Here is a 25,152-nt window from a genome sequence, read left to right on the forward strand (position 1 = left end):
ACTAATGTCATTTTCTGTTGTAGTACTCAGGCCTTCCTAGCCTCCTGCTGGTTGTGACAGTTTCCCAGTCTTTTCCTGTTTTTGGTGATCATGAGAGTTTTAAGGCATACTGATCAGGTATTTTTTAGAATGCCCATTAATTGGTATTTAATCTGATGCTTTTTTTAAAATGAATAGATTGGGGTAATATGTTGGAGAATAAGACCACAGAAGTCCCATTGTTATCACATCATGTCAAGAGTCCGTAGTATCAAAATGCAAGGTCATGGTTGATAGTAACTTTAATCACCAGACTTGATAAAGTTGTCAAGTTCCTTCCCATATCCCTGGAAAGTTGCTGTCCCTTATTTCCTTACTGTGCTTTTCAGAAGAAATCCACTGTGTGCAGCCCACGCTCAAGGAGTGAGAAATCATGGTCCACCTCCGTAAGGGTGGAGTATCTATGTAAATCATTTAGAATTCTTTAGCATGGGATATTTATCTATTCTCCCATTTATTTCTTTATTCAACCATTTATTTATATTAGTATGGGCTCATTCATATTTATCTTGTAATGTGGGTTATAATTCAATAGTACTCTATTTGTTTTGTTGCTCAAGTTGTTCCAGCTTTGGGCACAGCTCTCAGCACCTGTATCACCTGATGTATCCCCGTTATTGTGGGAATTTATTTATTTAACCACTTTCTGACTTCAGCCCTACAAGATGTCCCAGGCTCTTGTAGATTGCAAGACCAAGTCCTAGAATCAGCCATTTCTCCAAAGACCACTGGTGCTTTTGTTGGAGAATAATACTAGAAGCGACAACTGAGCACTGTGTTGCTTGCTGGGCTTCTCAGCTGACAGAGCTAAGAGACCTGAGTCTATGTAGAGATCCGTGAATATACACATATCTATAAATATTTGTATATGCAATCATCTGTATCTAAATTGATCTAAATACAATTTTATATTATTTCCAACTACAGTCTATTACCACAGGGATCATTCCAGTCTTCTCCATTAGCTTAACTGTAATCTTTCACTCCAACAGTGAGAAACCTGGTTTCTATATAACATTCCATTAAAATGGTTCCATCCCCTAACCATTTAATTAGTCATTTAATTTTTGTAGACATGGATAGTGCTTTCAGAATTGTAGACCTATACCCCTGTAGAAAACAGCTTTAGTAACCAGAGTACAGTGCTTACGTGCAGTTCCTTTTCCCTTTAGTTTTACAGACTCCATCTCATTTCCCCATTTTCCTAGGTCAATATCTTATTTCCACTCATCCGTCTATGAGGTTTTTTCATACATTTGTAATACATTTGCATTGATTGGTCAGATTCTGCATTTCTTCCTGGCATACTTCAAAACTCCTAAATGATCTTTTTAAATGGCTTACTTTTAATGGCATAACATGCTGTTAAGTTGTATGAGTTTTGACAAATGCTTAGTATCTTGAGCTTAGCATTACAGTATTATACAGAAAAGTGTCACTGCTCTAAAGAAATCCCCTGTTGCTCACCTATTCAGTTATCTTCCCATACTCCTGGACCACTGACAGTCACTGATAGCTTTATCATCTCTATACTTTTGGGTTTTCTAGAATATTATGACAATTACATTTAGGAGGAGTATTTGAGGGGGAATATAATGATTCTTCAAACACTGAAAGTGCAACAAATATTAGCAAAACGAGTGTGATTTTTTTGTAGACAGGATTCTGTAGCAGAAGAAAATGACAAACACTCCAAAAGGACAAGGCCACAATACAGAGCTTAAATCTTTGTAGTTAACAGATAAATGATATGATGGCTTGGGTATTGGTCCTAAGATCACCTGTTTTGTCTCTTTGTTCTTCGTTTTATTTTGTTTCTTCTTTTTATTTATTTATGTTTTCTTTGTTTTTGTTTGTTTGTTCCACTGCTTTGTATATTTAATGTTTCAGTTGCGAGGGCCCTGACACTGATATGATTTTCTTTCTTTGTAAGTAAATAACTTCCAATTTCTGGAAGCTTGTGACATTTTCTCTTAAACTTGGAGTTTAGAAATGTCACCAGGACGTGTTTCAATCTTAACATTTTGAATTGTTCTTCAGCCCAGAAATTGTCTTTTATTATTATTATTATTTTTTGTTATTGTTTCTCCTCAATCTGTTTCTCTCTGGAACTCACCTTTGGATCTAGATTTCCTGAATCCATTCACATTGCTTGTCTTTTCACTCACAATATTCATTTTTTGCATTTTGCTTACTAGTGTTAATAATAAATTTTATTTGAATATAACATCAACAACTAATGTTATATACTAATGCTAGCTGCTGATAAGGGCTGAGCTTAATTTTAGACCTGGCAGTCTACCTTCAGAGCCTAGAGGCCCATCGATACAGTAATACATGCTGTATTTTGAGATAACCTCACTTATTTCAGATCACATATTTGGCTTCTAGAAATCTCAATTCTATTATTCATTTAAGCTTTTTTTCTGAAATAATTTTGTCTTAATAGACCCAGTTCTTTACATCCTCAAATTGCCCCATTCCAAGTCCTTCCTTACAATTTTTGGTAGTTTCTTTTTGAGAACGTGTCTTTCTCTGCTATTAAATATGCCTTGGTAGAAGTCCCTGCCGTGAGTTTTAGATTTTTTTATTTTAAATTGTGGTAAAGTCTATTTAAGAGCTCTTTTCATCTTGCAAAACTGAAATTCTGTACCCATTACACTCTAACTCTTCTTTCTTCCCTCCCCCAACCCTTAAAAACCACCATTTCACTTTCTGTCTCTGTGTTTCTTTTTTTACTCTAGGTGTCTTATATAAGTGGAATCATGGAGTATTTGTCTTTTCGTCACTACCCTACTCTGCACAATAGAAATATAAATATGTCCTCAAATATAAAAATGTCCTCAAAGTACACACATGTTGTAACATGTGTCAGAATTGGCTTTTTAAGGCTGAATAATATTCCATTTTATGTATATACCACATTACATAATGGATTATATGTACCACATATCCATTCATTCATGGATACACATGTAGATTGCTTCCATATTTTGCTATTGCAAATAATGTTGTTATTAACATGGGCTTACAACTATATCTCTTCAAGTCTCTGCCTTCAATTACTTACCCAGAAACGTAATTGATGGATCACATAGTAATTCCATTTTTAGTTTCCTATAGAACCTCCATACTGTTTTCTACAGTGACTGTACCATTCTACATTCTTACCAACGTGCACAAGAATTCCTATTTCTTTGCCTCTTCACCAACACTTGTTATTTTGTTTTATAGTAGCCATGTCAGTGTGTGTGAAATAGACTTGGTGTGATTTTGATGGTTTACTTTAGTGTTCATACAAGCTATTGGGTTCTCTTGAGTGGTGAGTGACTTTTTTTCTTGTGCCCACCAGACCCCACAGCTCAGACAGACAAGCCTTCTTCTTTGTAGACTGCAGTGTGAATAATGTTCAGTAAAAATGTTTTCCACAGGATCTATCCCAGGCTCTTCTGAACTCATTGCCTGCAGCATGGGTACCGTTCATCCAAGATTCACTGGCAACCGATGCTTTTTCTTGAATCCGCTGGCTGTTTACTATCATAGTTATGTGTCTCCATCAGGGAACTAGGAGCATGATGAGGTCATAGATATGTTTACAAGATGCTAATTTCCTCAAAATTCTCACAGATTATACTTGAAAACTACCAATCTGTTGCATTTTAATTTGTAATTGTTTTTTAAAAATTATAATTTTAATTAAAATTTAATTTAAAAATTACATAAAATAGCCATTATTATGTTCATTGTTAAACATTGTTCTGAAAGATTAAGGCAATGTACAAATAAAGTTAAAAGAGAGAAGAAGCTGGGCATGGTGGCTCTTGCCTGCAGTTCCAGCACTTTGGGAAGCCAAGGCAGGAGGATAGCTTGAGCCCATTAGTTTAAAACCAGCCTGGGCAACATAGTAAGGCCCGGTCTCTGCACAAAAATAAATTTTAAAAATATTCACTGATTGTAGTGGCGCATCCCTGCAGTCCTGATGGTGGGAGGCTGAGGCAGGAGGATCACTTATGCCTGGGAGGTCAGAGGCTGTAGTGAGCTAGAGTCACACCACTGCACGCTAGGCTGGGCAACAAAGCAAGACCCTGTCTCAAAAAAAAAGTGGGGGATAAATATTAGCAAGGAGTAAATAAAACCGGTGCAGGAACAATATAATTAAAAGTCAAAGTATTTAGAGTGCAGTACATTAGCTATACAACTATACTAATTAGCTGAAAATACAGTTTTATTTCTTTATTTTAATGTATTTAGTGTGTGTATATATAGATATAAATAATAAGTATATAATATGTGGACTATTGTTTTGAATGTGTCATATTTTTCACTTTGTATTGTGTGTATTTTATTTTACTTTTTATCCTCCTTCCCCACTCCATTTCCCTTTTACTCCATAGGCAACCTTTCTAATGTATATTCTTTGGTCGTATACATTTTATAATACGTGTGCTATTACTTCGAGTGTGTCAAAACTTACATTTTGTTTATTACATTTTCCCCTTCTTTCTATGTCTTAAAGATCCATCTTGGCTTTGATGTATACATCCAGTCCATTGCTTCTCCCTGCTGCAAAACATTTCCTGGGGCGTACTCATCACACTTTAGGTGTCCATCTTACCACTGTCTGATTGCCAACAAGCCTGAGCATCTCCCTTTATGCTTGTTGAGCTGTTGTCTCCTGTAAATTGTTTAAAAAGATCTCTTTCACATTTTTCTGTTTTTCTGTCATTTTCGCATTGACTTCGGGAGAGTTCTGTTTATATACTAGTTTTTAGTCCATAGTCTACTTATGTTTCAATTTGTATTATGGTAAAGCTTATTGCTATTCTGTTTCATATTTTTTCAAGTTTTGCATTTTATTTTTGTTCTTATGAGGGTTTTTATCTATAGCTTAAAACCCATTCTTTTTTTTTATATTACACTTTAAGTTCTAGGGTACATGTGCACAACATACAGGTGTGTTACATATGTATACATGTGTCATGTTGGTGTGCTGCACTCATTAACTCATCATTTACATTAGGTATTTCTCCTAATACTATCCCTCCCCCCGCAACAACCCCACAACAGGACCCGATGTGTGATGTTCCCCACCCTGTGTCCAAGTGTTCTCATTGTTCAATTCCCACCTATGAGTGGGAACATGCGGTGTTTGGTTTTCTATTCTTGCGATAGTTTTCTGAGAATGATGGTTTCCAGCTTCATCCATGTCCCTACAAAGGACATGGACTCATCCTTTTTTATCACTGCATAGTATTCCATGGTGTATATGTGCCACATTTTCTTAATCCAGTCTATCATTGATGGACATTTGGGTTGGTTCCAGGTCTTTGCTATTGTGAATAGTGCCGCAATAAACATACGTGTGCATGTGTCTTTATAGCAGCATGATTTATAATTCTTTGGGTACATACCCAGTAATAGGATGGCTGGGTCAAATGGTATTTCTAGTTCTAGATCCTTGAGGAATCACCACACTGACTTCCACAATGGTTGAACTAGTTTACAGTCCCACCAACAGTGTAAAAGTGTTCCTTTTTCTCTAGATCCTCTCCAGCACCTGTTGTTTCCTGACTTTTTAATGATCTCCATTCTAACTGGTGTGAGATGGTATCCCATTGTGGTTTTGATTTGCATTTCTCTGATGGCCAGTGATGATGAGCATTTTTTCATATGTCTGTTGGCTGCATAAATGTCTTCTTTTGAGAAGTGTCTGTTCATATCCTTTGCCCACTTTTTGATGGGGTTGTTTGATTTTTTCTTGTAAATTTAAGTTCTTTGTAGATTCTGGATATTAGTCCTTTGTAAGATGGGTAGATTGTAAAAATTTTCTCCCATTCTGTAGATTGCCTGTTCACTCTGATGGTAGTTTCTTTTGCTGTGCAGAAGCTCTTTCATTTAATTAGATCCCATTTGTCAATTTTGGCTTTTGTTGCCATTGTTTTTGGTGTTTTAGTCATGAAGTCCTTTCCCATGCCTATGTCCTGAATGGTATTGCCTAGGTTTTCTTCTAGGATTTTTATGGTTATAGGTCTAACATTTACGTCTTTAATCCATCTTGAATTAATTTTCGTATAAGGTGTGAGGAAGGGCTCCACTTTCAGCTTTCTACATATGGCTAGCCAGTTTCCCCAGCACCATTTATTAAATAGGGAATCCTTCTAGTTTTTGTCAGGTTTGTCAAAGATCAGATGGTTGTAGATGTGTGGTATTATTTCTAAGGTTTCTGTTCTGTTCCATTGGTCTATATCTGTTTTTTGGTACCAGTTCCATGCTATTTGGGTTACTGTAGCCTTGTAGTATAGTTTGAAGTCAGGTAGCATGATGCCTCCAGCTTTGTTCTTTCGGCTTAGGATTGTCTTGACAATGTGGGCTCTTTTTTGGTTCCATATGAACTTTAAAGTAGTTTTTTTCCAATTCTGTGAAGAAAGTCATTGGTAGCTTGGTGGGGATAACATTGAATCTATAAATTACCTTGGGCAGTATGGCCATTTTCACAATATTGATTCTTCCTATCCATGAGCATGGAATGTTCTTCCATTTGTTTGTGTCCTCTTTTATTTCATTGAGCATTGGTTTGTAGTTCTCCGTGAAGAAGTCCTTCACAAACCTTGTAAGTTGGATTCCTAGGTATTTTATTCTCTTTGAAGCAATTGTGAATGGGAGTTCACTCATGATTTGGCTCTCTGTTAGTCTGTTATTGGTGTATAGGAATGGTTGTGATTTTTGCACATTGATTTTGTACCCTGAGATTTTGCTGAAGTTGCTTATCAGCTTAAGGAGATTTGGGGCTGAGACGATGGGGTTTTCTAAATATACAATCATGTCATCTGCAAACAGGGACAATTTGACTTCCTTTTTTCCTAATTGAATACCCTTTATTTCTTTCTCCTGTCTGATTGCCAGCATCATGTTGAATAGGAGTGGTGAGAGAGGGCATCCCTGTCTTGTGCCAGTTTTCAAAGGGAATGCTTCCAGTGTTTGCTCATTCAGTATGATATTGGCTGTGGGTTTGTTATAAACAGCTCTTATTATTTTGAGATACATCCCATCAATACCTAATTTATTGAGAGTTTTTAGCAGGAAGGGCTGTTGAATTTTGTCAAAGGCCTTTTTTGCATCTATTGAGATAATCATGTGGTTTTTGTCTTTGGTTCTGTTTATATGCTGGATTATGTTTATTGATTTTTGTATGTTGGACCAGCCTTGCATCCCAGGGATGAAGCCCACTTGATCATGGTGGATAAGCTTTTTGATGTGCCGCTGGGTTCGTTTTGCCAGTATTTTATTGAGGATTTTTGCATCGAGGTTCATCAGAGATATTTTTCTAAAATTCTCTTTTTTTGCTGTGTCTCTGCCAGGCTTTGGTATCAGGATGATGCTGGCCTCATACAATGAGTTAGGGAGGATTCCCTCTTTCTCTCTTGATTGGAATAGTTTCAGAAGGAATGATACCAGCTCCTCTTTGTACCTCTGGTAGAATTAGGCTGTGAATCCATCTCGTCCTGGACTTTTTTTGGTTGGTAAGCTATTAATTATTGCCTCAATTTCAGAGCCTGATATTGACCTATTCAGGGATTCAACTTCTTCCTGGTTTAGTCTGGGAGAGTGTATGTGTCGAGGAATTTATCCATTTCTTCTAGATTTTCTAGTTTATTTGCATAGAGGTGTTTATAGTATTCTCTGATGGTAGTTTGTATTTCTGTGGGATCGGTGGTGATATCCCCTTTATCATTTTTTTATTGCATCTATTTGATTCTTCTCTCTTTTCTTCTTTATTAGTCTTGCTAGTGGTCTATCAACTTTGTTGATCTTTTCAAAAAATCAGCTCCTGGATTCATTGATTTTTTGAAGGGTTTTATTGTGTTTCTATCTCCTTCAGTTCTGCTCTGATCATAGTTATTTCTTGCCTTCTGCTAGCTTTTGAATGTGTTTGCTCTTGCTTCTTTAGTTCTTTTAATTGCAATGTTAGGGTGTCAATTTTAGATCTTTCCTGCTTTCTCTTGTGGGCATTTAGTGCTATAAATTTCCCTCTACACACTGCTTTAAATGTGTCCCAGAGATTCTGCTATGTGTTGTCTTTGCTCTCATTGGTTTCAAAGAACATCTTTATTTCTGCTTTCATTTTGTTATGTACTCAGTAGTCATTCAGGAGCAGGTTGTTCAGTTTCCATGTAGTTGAGCGGTTTTGAGTGAGTTTCTTAATCCTGAGTTCTAGTTTGATTGCACTGTGGTCTGTGAGACAGTTTGTTATAATTTCTGTTCTTTTACATTTGCTGAGGAGTTCTTTACTTCCAACTATGTGGTCAGTTTTGGAATAAGTGTGATGTGGTGCTGAGAAGAATGTATATTCTGTTGATTTGGGATGGAGAGTTCTGTACATGTCTATTACATCCACTTGGTGCACAGCTGAGTTCAAGTCCTGGATATCCTTGTTAACTTTCTGTCTCGTGGATCTGTCTAATGTTGACAGTGGGATGTTATTATTGTGTGGGAGTCTAAGTCTCTTTGTAGGTCTCTAAGGACTTGCTTTATGAATCTGGGTGCTCCTGTATTGGGTGCATATATATTTAGAATAGTTAGCCCTTCTTGTTGAACTGATCCCTTTATCGTTATGTAATGGCCCTCTTTGTCTCTTTTGATCTCTGTTGGTTTAAATTCTGTTTTATCAGAGACTAGGATTGCAACCCCTGCTTTTTTTTATTTTCCATTTGCTTGGTAGATCTTCCTCCATCCCTTTATTTTGAGCCTATGTGTGTCTCTGCACATAAGATGGGTCTCCTCAATACAGCACACTGATGGGTCTTGACTCTTTATCCAATTTGCCAGTCTGTGTCTTTTAATTGGAACATTGAGCCCATTTACATTTAAGGTTAATATTGTTATGTGTGAATTTGATCCTGTCATTATGATGTTAGCTGGTTATTTTGCTCGTTAGTTGATGCAGTTTCTTCCTAGCATCGATGGTCTTTACAATTTGGCATGTTTTTGCAGTGCCTGGTACCAGTCGTTCTTTCCATGTTTATTGCTTCCTTCAGGAGCTATTGTAAGGCAGGCTTGGTGGTGACAAAATCTCTCCGCATTTGCTTGTCTGTAAAGGATTTTATTTCTCTTTCACTTATGAAGCTTAGTTTGGCTGGATATGAAATTCTGGGTTGAAAATTATTTTCTTTAAGAATGTTGAATATTGGCCCTCACTCTCTTCTGGCTTGTAGACTTTCTGTGGAAAGATCCATTGTTAATCTGATGGGCATCCCTTTCGTGGGTAACCCAACCTTTCTCTCTGGCTGCCCTTAACATTTTTTCCTTCATTTCAACTTTGGTGTATCTGACAATTATGTGTCTTGGAGTTGCTCTTCTCAAGGAGTATCTTTGTGGCATTCTCTGTATCTCCTGAATTTGAATGTTGGCCTGCCTTGCTAGGTTGGGGAAGTTCTGGATAATATCCTGCAGAGTATTTTCCAACTTGGTTCCATTCTCCCCATCACTTTCAGGTACACCAATCAGATGTAGATTTGGTCTTTTCACATAGTCCCATATTTCTTGGAGGCTTTGTTCATTTCTTTTTACTCTTTTTTCTCTAACCTTGTTTTCTTGCTTCATTGCATTCATTTGATCTTCAGTCACTGATACCCTTTCTTCCAGTTGATTGAATCGGCTACTGAAGCTTGTGCATGTATCACATAGCTCTCGTGCCATGATTTTCAGCTCCACCAGGTCATTTAAGGTCTTATTTATGCTGTTTTTTCTAGTTAGCCTTTCATCTAATCTTTTTTCAAGGTTTTTAGCTTCTTTGCAATGCGTTCGAACATCCTCCTTTAGCCCGGAGAAGTTTGTTGTTACCAATCGTCTGAAGCTTACTTCTGTCAATTTGTCAAAGTTATTCTCCATCCACCTTTGTTCCGTTGCTGACTAGGAGCTGCGTTCCTTTGGAGGAGAAGAGACACTCTGATTTTTAGAATTTTCAGCTTTTCTGCTCTGGTTTCTCCCCATCTTTGTGGTTTTATCTACCTTTGGTCTTTGATGATGGTGACATACAGATGGGGTTTTGGTGTGGATGTCCTTTCTGTTTGTTAGTTTTCCTTCTAACAGTCAGGACCCTCAGCTGCAGGTTTGCTGGAGGTCTACTCCAGACCCTGTTTACCTGGGTATCACCAGTGGAGGCTGCAGAACAGCAAATATTGCAGAATGGCAAATGGTGCTGCCTGATCGTTCCTCTGGAATCTTTGTCTCAGAGGGGCACCCAGCTGTGTGAGGTGTCACCCTACTGGGAGGTGTCTCCCACTTAGGCTACTTGGGCTCAGAGACCCACTTGAGGAGGCAGTCTGTCTGTTCTCAGATCTCAAACTCCGTGCTGGGAGAACCACTACTGTCTTCAAAGCTGTCAGACAGGGACGTTTAAGTCTGCAAAAGTTTCTGCTGCCTTTTGTTCAGCTATGCCCTGCCCCTAGAGGTGGAGTCTACAGAGGCAGGTAGGCCTCCTTGAGCTGTGGTGGGCTCCACCCAGATTGAGCTTCCTGGTCGCTTTGTTTACCTACTCAAGCCTCAGCGGTGGTGGATGCCCCTCCTTCAGCCTCTCAGTTCAATCTCAGACTGCTGTGCTAGCCATGAGTGAGGCTCTGTGGGCGTGGGACCCTCCGAGCCAGGCGTGGGATATAATTTCCTGGTGTGCCATTTGCTAAGACCATTGGAAAAGTGCAGTATTAGCATGGGAGTGTCCTGATTTTCCATGTACCGTCTGTCATGGCTTCCCTTGGCTAGGAAATGGAATTCCCCAGTCGCTTGTGGTTCCCGTGTGAGGTGATGCCCCACCCTGCTTCAGCTTACACTCTGTGGGCTGCACCCACTGTCCAACAAGCCCCAGTGAGTTGAACCCAGTACCTCAGTTGGAAATGCAGAAAAATACATTCTTGTATTTATTTACCCTTATTAAATACTAAAAACTCTAGAAATAGATAAAGATGTCAATTGGAAAAAAGAGAGGTATTATTTAAATGGTTTAAAAAAATGGCTAGTTATTTGGGAAAAAGTTGTATATTCACTTCAAACATATGAAATGGAACTTCCAAGGAGATCTGTCTATTAATATGTTTGTACAATTTGAAGTGGTTCTGTCTTTGTAGTGTTTCTTATTGCCTTTCTTTGCACAGCCCATAAAGGAAAGACTGGCATAAAGTATGAAGACAAACACACTATAAAATAAATATGCAATTTGCAAGACAAAAGTTCCATGCATATACTATATGTGAGGAATCAATTCAAAATTTGGAAAAAGGTTAAATTATGAGAAGAAAATAATTCTTCAATATCTCTAACCATTTTTGTATTAGTGTCTATTTTTTACTCTTATTAATGTGGTTAATCACTTTTCACATGCTTATATCCTCTGGGTATTGAGATTAAAATCTGTATATATACAAGGGAAAAGTCCCTCAGCAGTGGCAAAATTATGAGTTAGGAGTGAGCAGTTTTTCACTTTCACAATTTAGAATGAATTTAAATCAGGATATTAAGTAAATAGGTGAAGTAACGACATATGTGGAATAAAAATTTGGGAATTGACTACATAATCACTTTTTAAAAAGTTTCTCTGTTAGGAACACACACACACACACACACATACACAGACACACACACACACACACACACACACACACACAGAGCATGAGCAAGACTGAGAGTGCTTTTACAGTAGTTTATTTTTATGACTTTTTCTCCTGTATTAAATTAGTACGTCTCCAGGTAGGCTCCATGTCTTTTCACCTTTTTGTCCCTGGCATCTAACATAGTACCTGGCACTGTGTGAGCACAGAAAGTTTGCTGAATAAAGGAATGAATGAATGGATAAGGAAATAAACCTCCATTCCACATTTAGATGAGTATTTTTGTTAGTTATAGGGATAACATTTGATATTATGAAACAACAGCTAGTATAGTAGAATGATGTCTTATAGTACATCACCATTAGGTTGATCCATGATTCGTTTGCAAAATAATTTACCCATTTTTTTTTCTAACACATAAAATGACAGTGAATGCATTATTTGTCTCTTTTTTTACTAGAAGACAAGTTGTAAGATTTAAGAAATGATTCGCATTTTTTGATTAGCGTGATCGTATGCTCTTCTTTGATGGTATTTGTTGAAAATTCTTTGGGGATTTGCCATACCTAATGAGTGGCTTTATAAACTGCAGAGGCAGATAAATAGGAAAAGTTAGTAAAGTGAATTAAGTTTGTAAATCAAGACAGGCTTTTGTCAATATCCAGCCTGTAATATTGCTAGGAGTCAGATAGACCACCCTTTCCTTTAATTTTTAATTTAATTAACCATCCCTTTGATTTCAAATCACTAAGACATCACTGAGAGTCAAAGACTAACCTTGAGAAGGACTTATCTTCTTTAGTCATCAAAAAGATACGAAATTCCATTAATTAGGTGTGAATTCTCCACCCCTTTCAATACAGAAGTTACATGAATCTGTGGGTGTCAGATTTGTTGTTGTTTTGTCAAGGATGTTAATGATCTATCTATAAACTGTTAGTTGTTTTGCAAAGTTAATTTTAGATTAACTGATGCATAGTTGTGCTCTCGGTAACCATGGAGAGGAAGAACCACTTGATCAAACATCTTCATCTACCTCAGCAGAACAAGACATCAGACATATTTATTAGCATTAGTTCCCTGAAAACACGAAGTTATGAATGTCCAGCTCCTTGGTAGCCCCTCTTCAGACATTCCTTTTTTTTCCTCTTTAGCTTTTATTCTTTAAATTATGTGTAAATTACACATTTCATACCTATATGCTATAAATCTATTGGAACATTTTGCTTCCCTTCTGTATGTCATTTCCCTAAATCTTCTCTAGTCTACTTTTTTGATTACAAGCTTTAGAGACAAAGTTTTTCTTGTGAATCATCATGAAAATGCAATGACCCAGGACCAAGGAATATTAACTGGGAACTAACCATAAACATAATAGTGTGTATATATGTATATTTTTTTCTTTGCCAAATATCCATCATTATGATTTGTTAAATCATCTAGTTCCCAGAAAGGGCTAGACCTAGAATAACAAAGAATAGTGTATACAATCTCAGCCTTGTCCTGTGCTCAACTGGTTAATATGCTGTTTTAATGAAGTTGTCATTTTTATTCGGTCATTGGGATTATATGTCATTTTATGTCATGTTACCTTGTACTGGGACTGTTCATGTATTAGAATATTGTATTACTAGTTAACCACCCTCAGCTATCCATGTTTACATAAGATTTTTAGAAAATTAATTTTATCTTTTCAATTAAAAAATTTTATGTAAAAACAATCATAGTTGTTACTTATATAATAATTACATTATAACAGAATTTATGAAAATCAAAATAATATGATTATATAATAATATAATTTTTGGAATCTGTTGTTAAAATTATCACTTTTCCTCCTAACTGAATTCACTTCATAAATCCTTTATTACATCCATCAGGGATAAGTGATTTCTCCAACATGTTTCTCCTTTTCTCTTTTCCTCTGTCAGTGATTTAAGCTTTTTGTAAGAAGCTACAACCTGAATAATTACACAATATGAGTAGAAGTTTGGATAGCTAATTACATCTGGAACTAGAAACCCAAGGCCTCAGTAAATTGTTCAGTTTTCATCAAATATAAATAATTTGTGTAAATGCAAGGAAAGGTAGATTTTACTGAGTAGGGCAATTTGTTTTATTTTAGTTTAGTTTATTTATTTATTTATTTTGAGGCAGAGTCTCACTCTGTTGCCAGGCTGGAGTGCAGTGGCGCGATCTCAGCTCACTGCAACGCCTGCCTCCTGGGTTCAAGTGATTCTCCTGCCTCAGTCTCCCAAGTAGCTGGGACTACTGGCGTGTGCCACCACGCCCGGCTAATGTTTGTATTTTTAGTAGAGATGGGGTTTCACCATATTGGCCAAGATGGTCTCAATCTCTTGATCTTGTGATCCGAGTAGAGCAATTTATAATAATGGTGTCTCTAAAAATTCCAAAATACGTGTGTTGCGAATTCTGCTAGTTTTTATTTTGGGAAATATTTTAGTAGATTAATATGCCTCTGTTTTGGTGAGATAAACTATGTCATAGTTATCATCAGAGATGTTGAAGTCAAATAAAATATAGATAAAAATCTCTAAAAATTTTTTTGAGGGAAGCAAGAATTGCAATTTGGGGCATATATACAGACCCGGTGGTCTTCAGTATATCTGAAGAACAAAGAGAAGATTGGAGGTTTTATAAAAGAGAAATGTAAAAATAACTATTTGGTACTATGCTTAGTACCTGGTTGACAAAATAATCTGTACATCAAACCTCCATGACAGGAGTTTGCCTGTATAGCAAACCTGCACACGTACCCCTGAACCTAAAATAAAAGTTTTTGAGGGGAGGGGGAAGAAAAAAGAAATGTTCCATATTATTGTGAAAGAAAATTCATTGGCACTAGTAAAGTTGTGCAGAGCTGGAAAGCTCTAACTGGTGCATGATGGGTAAAACTAGTTTTAGAGTCTCAGCAGATTGTTTCAGTATCTGTCAGATACAACTAATTTCAGGTTACAGCTGTCAGTTTCAGGAGCCAGGTTTGTAGAGAATTATATTTTTGGAGCAGTATTACGAGCCCTTAGTGCTTTCCCCGACCCCTGACCTCTTGAGTCTTTTTGAGTTGGGTTTGACAAGAATGACTCAATTTGTAAGATCACCTTTCACAGATTCAGTGCTTCTTTGTTTTTTCAGTTTTTATTGGTCAAATGCTTCTGAGATAAATAACTGGGTTTTGCCCCACACTGCATCATCTTCTTTTGTGTTTGATTATTTCCCTCATACAAACTTCTTTACTTTCAGACAGAGAAAGGACTATCAAAAGTATGGCAAGAAAGTAAGCAGAACCCTGGTAATCATTGGCAAAAGGCTGACATCCTGCTAGGAAAGTTAAGGAATTTTGAAGTCATATTTCAAGGTATCAGAACAAGGGACCTGGGAGGAGGAGCTGCAATTGATGATATTGAATTTAAAAACTGCACAACTGGTAAGTTTCCAGAAAGCACTTCCATTTGGAAGCACATTTTTAATCTAGCCATTTTATTTTTGTTACACAAGTTTACAATGCTTTACTGTTATGTATTTTGTACACATACACAAATCAATGGAAAGGTATAATTTTATAATTGTGAACTTAAAACTGTATGTTGAGATAATACCTATCTTAGTCTGTTTGGGCTGCTGTTACAAAATGCCATAAGCTGGGTAGCATATAAACAACAGAAATTTTTTTCCCTGTGGTTCTGGAGGCTGGGAAGTCCAAGATCAAGACAGGCAGATTTGGTATCTGGTGAAGGCTCATTTGCTGGTTAATAGATGGCACCTTCTTGCTGTGTCTTCACTTGGTGGAGTCCAAGTGGAGCCCTTATAAAATGAGCTCCCTTGGGCCTATTTTATAAGGGCACTAATCCCATTCATGAGGGCTCTGCCCTCATGACCTAGTCATCTTCCTGAAGACCCCATCTCTGGACACTATCACCTTTGGGTTTAGGATTTCAACATATGAATGAAGGGAGGAGAATAAACAGTCAGACCATAGCGATATCTTCTTCATCTTTCAGTTGCACAAGTAACACCTCTCTTCCTTCCGTACCATCCGCTTTCTAACATGGATAATTTTTCCCTTCTGAATTTGTTTTTCAACACAATTTTAAATGTGAGCCTAATATTTACATGTATTTACCTAATTTAAACTAATTATAAATGAACCAGTAAAAACAGGTTAGAAATCTGGTAGTAAGTGCATCTATAAGAAATAAATTCAATCAGGCAAAATTGAAGCAGAAATTGAGCTGAGAGCTGTGCTTGGGAGATTTAAAGATGCTACTCCAGCCTGTGAACAGTAACTTGAAAAAAAAGTACCGCCATTTATCATGTTTCTAAATGAGAAGTATAACTACACTTAGATTCTCTTTACAAAACTACCCAGAAAATGTCAAAAATAATTATAAATACATTTGTACAATTTCACAGTTTGCAAGGTTCTTTCAGAGGAATTATTCCATTTGGTTTCCAAAATAATCCTGTGTGAGATATACTGCCAGTGAAAGATATGCCTTCTGTGGTTTTCTATACTGATTCACTTGGCAGCAAGTCCCCGCGACTAAAAGAGCTAAACCTGAATGCTGTTTAATTTTATTGTTGCTCTCATATTAAAATATCATTTCACTGAGGCAGTTCAAAAATGTGACTTTGGTTTTTTTGTAGTGTTACAGCATCTGCTCTTTTTATGAGTGGTACTGTTTCAAAAGATTCTACTTAGAAATACATTCTTTAAACTTCGAATTCCCTCTCCTCCAACCTATGTTTCCAGAAAAGGTGGTTGTTACTCAGCTACCTTATGTTAAATAAAATCAGAAATTATGTGTTTCATACCATGTAAGGAGCATGTAGCTCCAGGTATCTATGTCATGCAGGAGACAGGATTTGGGCTTCAAGATGCTGGAGAGAGTGTCTTAATGAAAGAAGATGAGGTTTTGCACATGTATTTGTGTAAAGGGAATCTTAGACATGAGAATATGCTTCTTGAACTCTCTCCTAGTAACTTTCCAAGTAATATGTTGAAATTCTATTATGGTTAGTAACTCAATCTAGAAATGATTCTGGCAACTTGAAAAGGAAAAATTCTTCAAAACTTTCTCTAAGATTTTAGAAAGAAAGCTTTATTCAATAAGAGAAATTCCTTTCCTCTCAAGGGAAGCAGAATGATTCCTAGATGGGTTGATTCAGGACAGAAGGAAACTGAGAGTTATTATTCTAGCTTTGCTAGTCTCATGTAGAAGTCTGCACTCTTTCTTCCCTTTTTCGTAATAGAGTTCTGTGAGAGTTTACGTGATTACAATTAATTTTGTTCAATTGAAGCCAACACTTGGCTTACTAAGTTATACTTTAATATCTTACGTTTAGTGATCAACTGCTTTTAGGCCTATAGTTCTTTCTTTTTCATTAAGTAAAGAGGCATCATGTTGTCAATTATAGTTGAATATAGTAAATTACACATTTAATACATTTTCAGAAAAAGTAGCCATTGGTTTTTAACAGCCCAGCCATCTACAATTAACAAGGATTTTCAAATTGTTTTTCAGTTAAGATAGAAAACATGAAAAAATTATGAGAAAGTTTGAAAGACTATGAATGGAACTAAACAACATTCTTTTTAATCATCTTAGTGTTTAGCTTTATGCAGGTGAAATATCAGGTCTGTGTAACATGGATGATCAGAAGGAGCTTAGAGTGTAAGTTACACTAAGTTGCTTTCTGCAGTTGCCACTTCAGATGGTGAGAATGGTATTTAGCAAAACACGTCAAAGTCAGAAAGGCACTTTATCATAGTGGTTAAGAACAAGGAGCCTTGAGTCAAACTATGTGGGCATGGCATCTGGCTGTGTCATCTGGCTCAGGTAAGTTTCTTCATTTCGCTTTGCGTCGGTTTCCTCATCAATAAAATTGAGAAGATGAAAATAGTATTTTCATCATACGTTTACATGAATATTAAATACGTTAAAATATGTGAAGTTCTTTGAACAGTCTTGGCACATAGAAAAATTAATGTTACATTTTATTATTACAGTGGTCATCATTATTATTAACATGCCATATTCTCAAATGATGCTTTATTGCCCTGTATTAGGAAACCAACTTCAGATCATAAACTACCAGGTCACCACACAATTTATCATGAAGTTGTTGATGTTCTGCATGTGAAATAACTTAAAAAATGACTGAATGTTTATTTCTGTCACATTTTACTGATCATAAAACATCCCCACATATTGTATGCTACCATTGATATGAAATGTACAGAACAGACAAATGTATAGAGACAGAGAGGAGGTGAGTGGTTACTTAGGTGTGAGGGAATGGGGAGAGGGGAATGGCTGCTAATTGATATTGGGTTTCTTCATGGAGTGATAAAAATATTCTAATGTTGTTTATAGTGATCATTGTACAACTTCATAAACATATTAGAAACATTAAATGTTATATGGCTAAACTTATGGCATGTAAATTATAAATCAATAAAACTTTTTAAATGAAAGGAATGACTAATCTGGGCAACATAGTGAAACTCCCATCTCTATAAAAATTTTAGGCCGGGCACTGTGGCTCATTCCTGCAGTCCAGCACTTTGGGAGGCTGAGGCAGGTGGATTAATTAAGGCCAGGAGTTCGAGACCAGCCTGGCCAACATGGTGAAACTCCAACTCTACTAAAAATAGAAAAATTAGCTGGGCGTTGTGGCACATGCTTGTAATCCCAGCTACTCAGCAGGCTGAGGCATGAGAATTGCCTGAACCAGGGAGGCAGAGGTTTGCAGTGAGCCGAGATCGCACCACTGCGTTCCAGCTAGGGTGATGGAGCAAGACTCCGTCTGAAAAAAAAAAAAATTGAAAATTAAAACATAAGCCAAGCATTGTGGCTTGCGCCTGTAGTCCCAGCTACTCAGGAGGCTGAGGCAGGAGAATTGCAAGAGGCTAAGCCCAGGAGTTGGAGGTTTCAATGAGCCATGATCATGCCACTGCACTCCAGCCTGGGTAACAGAGTCAGACCCTGTCTCAAAGAAAAAAGATGAAGAATTCTGGAAAGATGGCAATTGTAGTGGCATAATAGCTTTTGGATTTTCCTAAGTCCTCACACAAAACAGTCAGAGAACCTAATTAGCAAAGTCAGCAAGTCATGAAAAACATATGCAACAAAATTAAATGAAAATACATCCCTACAAAATCCAAAAGTACAAACTAATAGGACAAACCACAAACAGTGACAAGACTTGTGTATTATTTATTTCTATAAGGGGGAAGGCAGGAAAATCACAAAAGAGTCAACAGATATTCCCTGGAAAATGCAGCCAGGTTTGAGAATTGGTTGTGAGTAGAAATGAGGAAAGGTAGATTATGCATATGATATATATATATATATATATATATATAATTATATGATACATACATATAAATTATATATATATCTATATATAATGGTAATACAGATATTCCTGGACTTATGATGGTGTTATATATGGATAAACCCATATAAGTTGAAAATGCATTCCATACCCAATAAACCCATTATAAAGTCAAAAAATTGTAAGTCAAATCATTGTAAATGCAGAAGCTCCTGGATTTGTGATGAGGTTATGTCCTGATAAACCCACTGTAAAGTTGAAGGATTATAAATCAAACCGTTGTAAATCGAGGACTGTCCGTGCACACGTACACACACACACACACACACACACACACACACACACATTATATGTACCGTAATATGTATGGTATATATTTGGTAGTTATCTACTTTAGCTGCAAATAGGAAAGCTATTTAAGTTTCATATTTCTTTCTTACTTTCTATGCAAAAACTTACAACTCAATTTATTAGATAATATTTAGAAAATAGCCAACATAAAGCTAGATATATTCTTTTTTATTTATTTGCATTCTGAATACATTATGGTGCTATCTTCAACTTACTATCAAATATATTTTTCTAAAAAGAAAAATAAAGCAAAATAATTGGCATATTCTGTAGTCTGTCCAGGAACACAATAAGAAGGCTCTCTCCTTTTTGGACAAGTTAATAAGGAAGCAAGGAAGCAAGTAGCTTATTCATAGAAAAATAAGTGACAGATTATAAATTTGATGTCTCTCCTTTTTATTCAAGTTGGTTTAAAAATGGTTTGTACAGAAATCTTATAAAATGTAGCAACCATTCCACAGAACAAAGAAGTAGGAAGACAATTCATATTGTAAAGAAAGGGTTATCGTATCATTGTAATTCTAAAGTTCGAAATTTAAATGACTTCTGAAATTTCAGAACGTTACTTAAAGTACAATCATTTCTTAAGTACAGTCATTCACCTGATACTCAGGGAGCTTACTATTAATACTAAATAGTATTTATGTCAGCTGTTAATATCCCAGATCAGCAATAAGACCACTAGGTGTTAGTCCTAGCTTACCCATTTGCTATCTGCTGTATGATTTTAGGCAAATGACATGATCTTCTTTTGCCTTATGTTTTTCATCTATAAAATAGTAGTAATAATGCTTCCATCTCATAAAGTTCTTATGAGGATTAAATTATTAACTCTATACAAGGTACTTTGAAAAACACATGAGATATAGCAAGCATCTGAATATTCACTGGCCAATAAATATAAATGAACTACACTGCAAGCCTTCTTAATTGTTTTAGGGACAACACTTTTTACATCACATTTAGAATTCTATTCTGTTTTGTTCCTTCATTTTCACATGTTCCACAAACATGGATTTTCTAGTCTGCAGAAAGCTTTGTGCAATGCACTGCACACATCTACGGAGAGCTGGGCTGAAATGTGTGCATTCCAGAGTGTTCAGTTTTGTGGATTTTTCTTTTTCCCTTTTCAGTGCCTCTTTCTTAATTCCTGGCATTTGTCTCCTTCCCCAGTGTGTTCCCCTCCATGTTTTCTACTTACAGGACCCCTCTGTGAACTGCTCAGAGACACTGGTAAACCCAGGACCTCAGGGTAGAATCCAATAATGGTATAAGATGTTGCCTTTTCAACTGAATATCTAGAAAATTCAATTGAATGATGACCAGTTTTCAGTTCAAGGAAAAGGAAGAGATAATTTAGGGAACAGAGAATGTTTCCAGAATCTTTTGACAGTAGCTACTCAATCTTTCCCTACATTCATACATAGCAAAACACTCACACCCCCCGAATAATCTTAATTATGAAAAGAAAAAAAATACCTTGAGGGTAAAATAAAAGAAGCTGGCATTTTTATAATTTCAGATGTCTTAGGTGTTGTCTTCAAAGATAATGTAAAAAGACATTCTTTTTTATTATAGCCACTTTTGCATCTTTCATTTTTTTCCTGTTAAAAACTGTATGTATGACTCCTGAGTGTCCTTTAAACAGTGATTTTATCTGGAGTGAAAAATAGTGGCATGATGATAATGATCTCAATGCAGCATCACTCTGGATTCAAATTGAACTTGGGAGATCACAAAACAGTGATTGCTTTATATAAAGTTCACACACAAATAAATCTATAAAGATAACTCCATAGAGTTTAACTTCAGAACTTACCTTCTTCACTTAGTTTACATGAAAAGCTGTATTTCTGCTCACATTTGAGTGCTCCGAGTGTTGCATTCAGATCGCTCGCAGTCTTCTTTTAAAGTAAATGTCAGACAAGAAAAAGAAGAAGGCAATGAGTAGAAAAGTAATGCACATCTCGCCCTAATGAAATAATTAAAAGTGACATTTATTTATTTATTTATTTATTTATTTATTTATTTATTTTGAGACAGAGTCTCGCTCTGTCGCCAGGCTGGAGTGCAATGGCACGATCTCAGCTCACTGCAACCTCCACCTCCTGGGTTCAAGCGATTCTCATGCCTCAGCCTCGTGAGTAGCCGGGATTACAGGCATGCACCACCATGCCCAGCTAAAAAAACAAAACAAAACAAAAGAACCTGCCTTATATTATTAGAATGATAGTGTGGATTTAAAAGTTACTATATGCCAAGTGCTTTATACAATAATTCTTCATGGTAACTACTCAAGCAATGTTTGATATGATTGCCATCACTCATCAACACCATCATATTTAATTGAATCCTTAAGACTCTGAAAAATTGAAATAGCTAGATGTTACACCAAATATCAGCTGAGTTGATTTCCCTCCTGATGCTTAATGGCATGGAAACAGCCATATGTAGCCATAACATCATAGAATACTACTAAAACAGTGATAAACAACTTGGAGGTAAAAGCAGTCACACAGCACTTGACATATCTGTCAAGCAGGTTCACTGTCTACTGGTTACCAACTTGCCTGAGTCTGGTGAGACAGAATCCTCATAAACTAATTACATAAAGCGGGTTTATTACGTACAGATAGGCAGCAAGGGACAACAGAAAATTAGGGTTCATCATTAAGCTGGTCCCCCAAGGCTCAAGAAAGCTGCCCAGGGTGGATGTAATCTCATCTGTGCAAGACCCTGTTGCACCACAGCTGATGATCTGGCAAAGCCCGCCCTGGGTTTTATAACTTAGGTGAAAGCATGAAAGGATGTTCTGTTTCTAAAAGAAATTTGAACTAAGACCGGGCTGTTCTAGAACGTCCCTTCTTATCTCAGAATGTTGCATTCCTAGCACATTCTGAGTTTCTTCTTGAGAACTGCAAGCAAGAAACTAGGGAGAACTGGGTTGGTCCAAGGCCACAGGGAGAAATGTTTGGCATTATCTAGTTTGCCAATGATTTCAAATGGTCTTGAAAAAAAATAAGTGATATCAGACATATCATTAGTGTTTCTAATAGTAGAATGTTTTAATAGTACTAGTTTAAGTATTTTAAAACATTGTTAAGTGATGTTTTAAAATTTTTTAATATTCAAATAATCCTTATTGTTACAGGCTTGTTTTATTTTGGATTCAAAATCTTTTCAGTAAGGAAAGGGCGGGAAAAGAATATTTGTTAACTACAAATATTATTTAACTTGAACCAGACCCAGGTCATAGCAGTTTCTTTCTTTACCTGATTATATATGACTATTTTTATACTAGGTTTCTTTATACACTGCAATGCACCTTTTGTACCTAGAGCTAAAATTTTCTGCCAACACTTGATATAATTTGTTAAATATACTCTTTATAGAAGAATCCATACATTTAAGCCTGCACTTTAAATGAAACTTTACTTATTGGCAGGATGAAGTACGCAATGCTTCTCAAATGACAAAATAGGCTTATTTGAAGTAACTAAATCCCTGCAAATATTGATTAACAAAAAGTGTCAAAGTCATGTTTAAAAATAGCTTGTTATAATTAGTTTATCTCCTGATTATATGTTCTCTTCCAACTTACTTATCAATATTAATAACATGTCCATACATAAATTGATATTTTACTAACTATATATCATATATGGATACAAAGATTAATTTTGACTTTTCAGTGAAAGGTAACTGGTTTTTATTGATTGAAGAATTTTGATTATCAAAAGGTAAGAATGGTGACATCTTTGTCATTGATTTATAAACAGATGCTGTCTTTTTGAAAATGTATCACCGCATGTGGTAGAGATATTTACTCTTTGAATGACATCAGTTTCTTTCCCGCATGTTTCCCTTTTAGTTAAACGGGTCAATAAGAATCAGAATTGGCCAATGTGCTGTGAGGAAGTAGCATGTGTCATTTCCAGTTGAAATATTTAAAATGTAGTGTACAATTTTCATCGTTACAGATTTATTTTGAATTCAAAAGTAAGTCTCATCAGGTCTCCCTTGCATGTTAAAAGGGGCCTTATATCCCAGATAGTATATCTACATCTGCCTCATCTTCCTGAATCTGTAGATGAGAATCTCTTAGCCAACTTGTTTTTTAGATATGTATAGTTGAGTTATATATATATATATATGTGCGTATATATATAGTATTTTTTAAGATTTAAGTGGTATTTTAAAAGTATATCATCAAGCCCATCCTAACACACAGTGCAATCTACTACCTAACACACAATGCAATATTACATAAAGAGACATTATTTAACATTGAGTTTTCCAGTTTCTCTACCTTGGAAGCAAATACATTTGCTGTATTTAAGGTCACAGTCTCAGGATTATGGTTGCTTAATTAATAAACAAAAAGAAATCACAACCAAGCTATCAATCCTTTGCAGGTTTATTCAACCTGAAGATGTAAGAGAGAAGTATACTTACCTTCAGATTCTAATAGTCTAAAGGTGTTAACCAAAAGCTCCCAGCATTCCTGGGTTCAGCCTTTTGAGGAAGTACCCTCAGTGAATAAAGTTGACACTAAACAAAATTCTTAACGAAGAGGTGGAGATAGTCTTTGTGACATCAACCCTCTACATTCAGTCATTGCCAGTTATAAATCTAACTTTCTTTTATTGCTTGAATTGATTTGAGACAGGCTTCAGAAGAGAGACTTCATTGCCATGATCAACTAACTGCATTGTTCTTCATTAAGCCTTAGAGCCCAATTACTTGTTTCTTATAAAATCAGGGACTAGTTCTTTTTTTCTGGTCCAAGGCCATTCTTTAAACAAAAGAACTATGTGATTGAGTTTATTATACTTTTAATCAGTGATTTTAAATTAAAAAAGTCAAAGCCATGGATGAATCTAATTACTTTAACATTGTATTCAAGTAAACCATTTGTTACGTACCTTGAAATCATCAAATACTGCTTTATCTCTCAATAAAATTAAGAGAATTAGCATCTGAATGTTAAAAAGGTCTATATTTAAAAATGTAATTTAAATCATATTATAATGATAAATATTACTATTAATATAATTATATTTAATTATAATCCAAGCACAATGATATAACTTGGTTCATTTACATTATTAAGAAAAAATAATTATTTGACCAGACATTTTAGTAAGGCTTAAATAGCCCTTGAAATATCCCTAGGTTCAAATAGAGGCAACTGTAAATCTGAATGTTAACATTATCCTCAGTTCATGTAATTTCTAATTAGAATTTGTTTCAATGACAATGAAAATTTTCATATTTAGGATCTAGGTCAGTAGGACCATTGCATAGAGTTTTTGTGATGATATGGTGTTTCCATTTTTACTGAACTATATTTTACTTATTTTCACTCAAAATGAATATTGATGTTTATCAAGAAGGCTCCTACTTTATACTCATATATAATTTTTCCACTACATAATTGAAGTATATGTCATTTAGTCCTGAAATATCGGTACAGATATATACTAGTATATAAGATGTATAAGCTACAGTTGAACTTGAGTAGATGTGGAACACATGAAAATTACATCTAGTTGAGCCAAACATAAAGAAACAGTTAACAACCAAATCTACAGATATTTATACATGCACAAATATTAAGCCAGGACTAGAAACCAATTTTCTTGTCTATTCCACTTAATGGAACGCACACACAAATGCACATACGCACACACAGATTTTTTTTTTTTTACTGTAACATATAAGTTTCTGAAAAACCTCATGTTTTGAATAATATGAAAAGAAGAAAGCCTTTGGAAAAATAGTATTGGAGCAAGCCACTGAA

At 35.8% G+C, this 25,152-nt stretch overlaps 1 protein-coding gene and 1 long non-coding RNA gene across 13 annotated transcripts in view; one reads left to right on the plus strand and one right to left on the minus strand.

Moving 5' to 3' along the window:
• Positions 1-25,152, plus strand: part of MALRD1 (MAM and LDL receptor class A domain containing 1) — a 687,552-nt gene that overhangs the window by 388,480 nt on the left and 273,920 nt on the right. For all 10 annotated transcript variants that reach the window (XM_011519453.3, XM_011519455.3, XM_011519454.2 and 7 more), the window contains one exon: positions 14,901-15,084. In XM_011519453.3, coding sequence (XP_011517755.1) covers positions 14,901-15,084 — 184 coding nt within the window. The remainder of the gene's footprint in view (positions 1-14,900; positions 15,085-25,152) is intronic.
• On the minus strand, positions 4,087-23,886 carry LOC102724082 (uncharacterized). Of its 3 annotated transcripts, none has more exons than XR_007062079.1 (3): positions 23,805-23,886; positions 21,169-21,253; positions 4,087-4,124 (listed from the first exon to the last, which is right to left on the minus strand). It is a non-coding gene; the product is annotated as an uncharacterized LOC102724082 (long non-coding RNA). The 3 variants fall into 3 exon arrangements; XR_930726.3 differs by lacking the exon at positions 23,805-23,886 and adding an exon at positions 21,980-22,068; XR_001747682.2 differs by lacking the exons at positions 4,087-4,124; positions 23,805-23,886 and adding exons at positions 4,639-4,714; positions 21,980-22,068.

The sequence above is a fragment of the Homo sapiens genome, chromosome 10 (genome assembly GCF_000001405.40).
Source record: "Homo sapiens chromosome 10, GRCh38.p14 Primary Assembly".
Classification (NCBI taxonomy): Eukaryota; Metazoa; Chordata; class Mammalia; order Primates; family Hominidae; genus Homo; species Homo sapiens.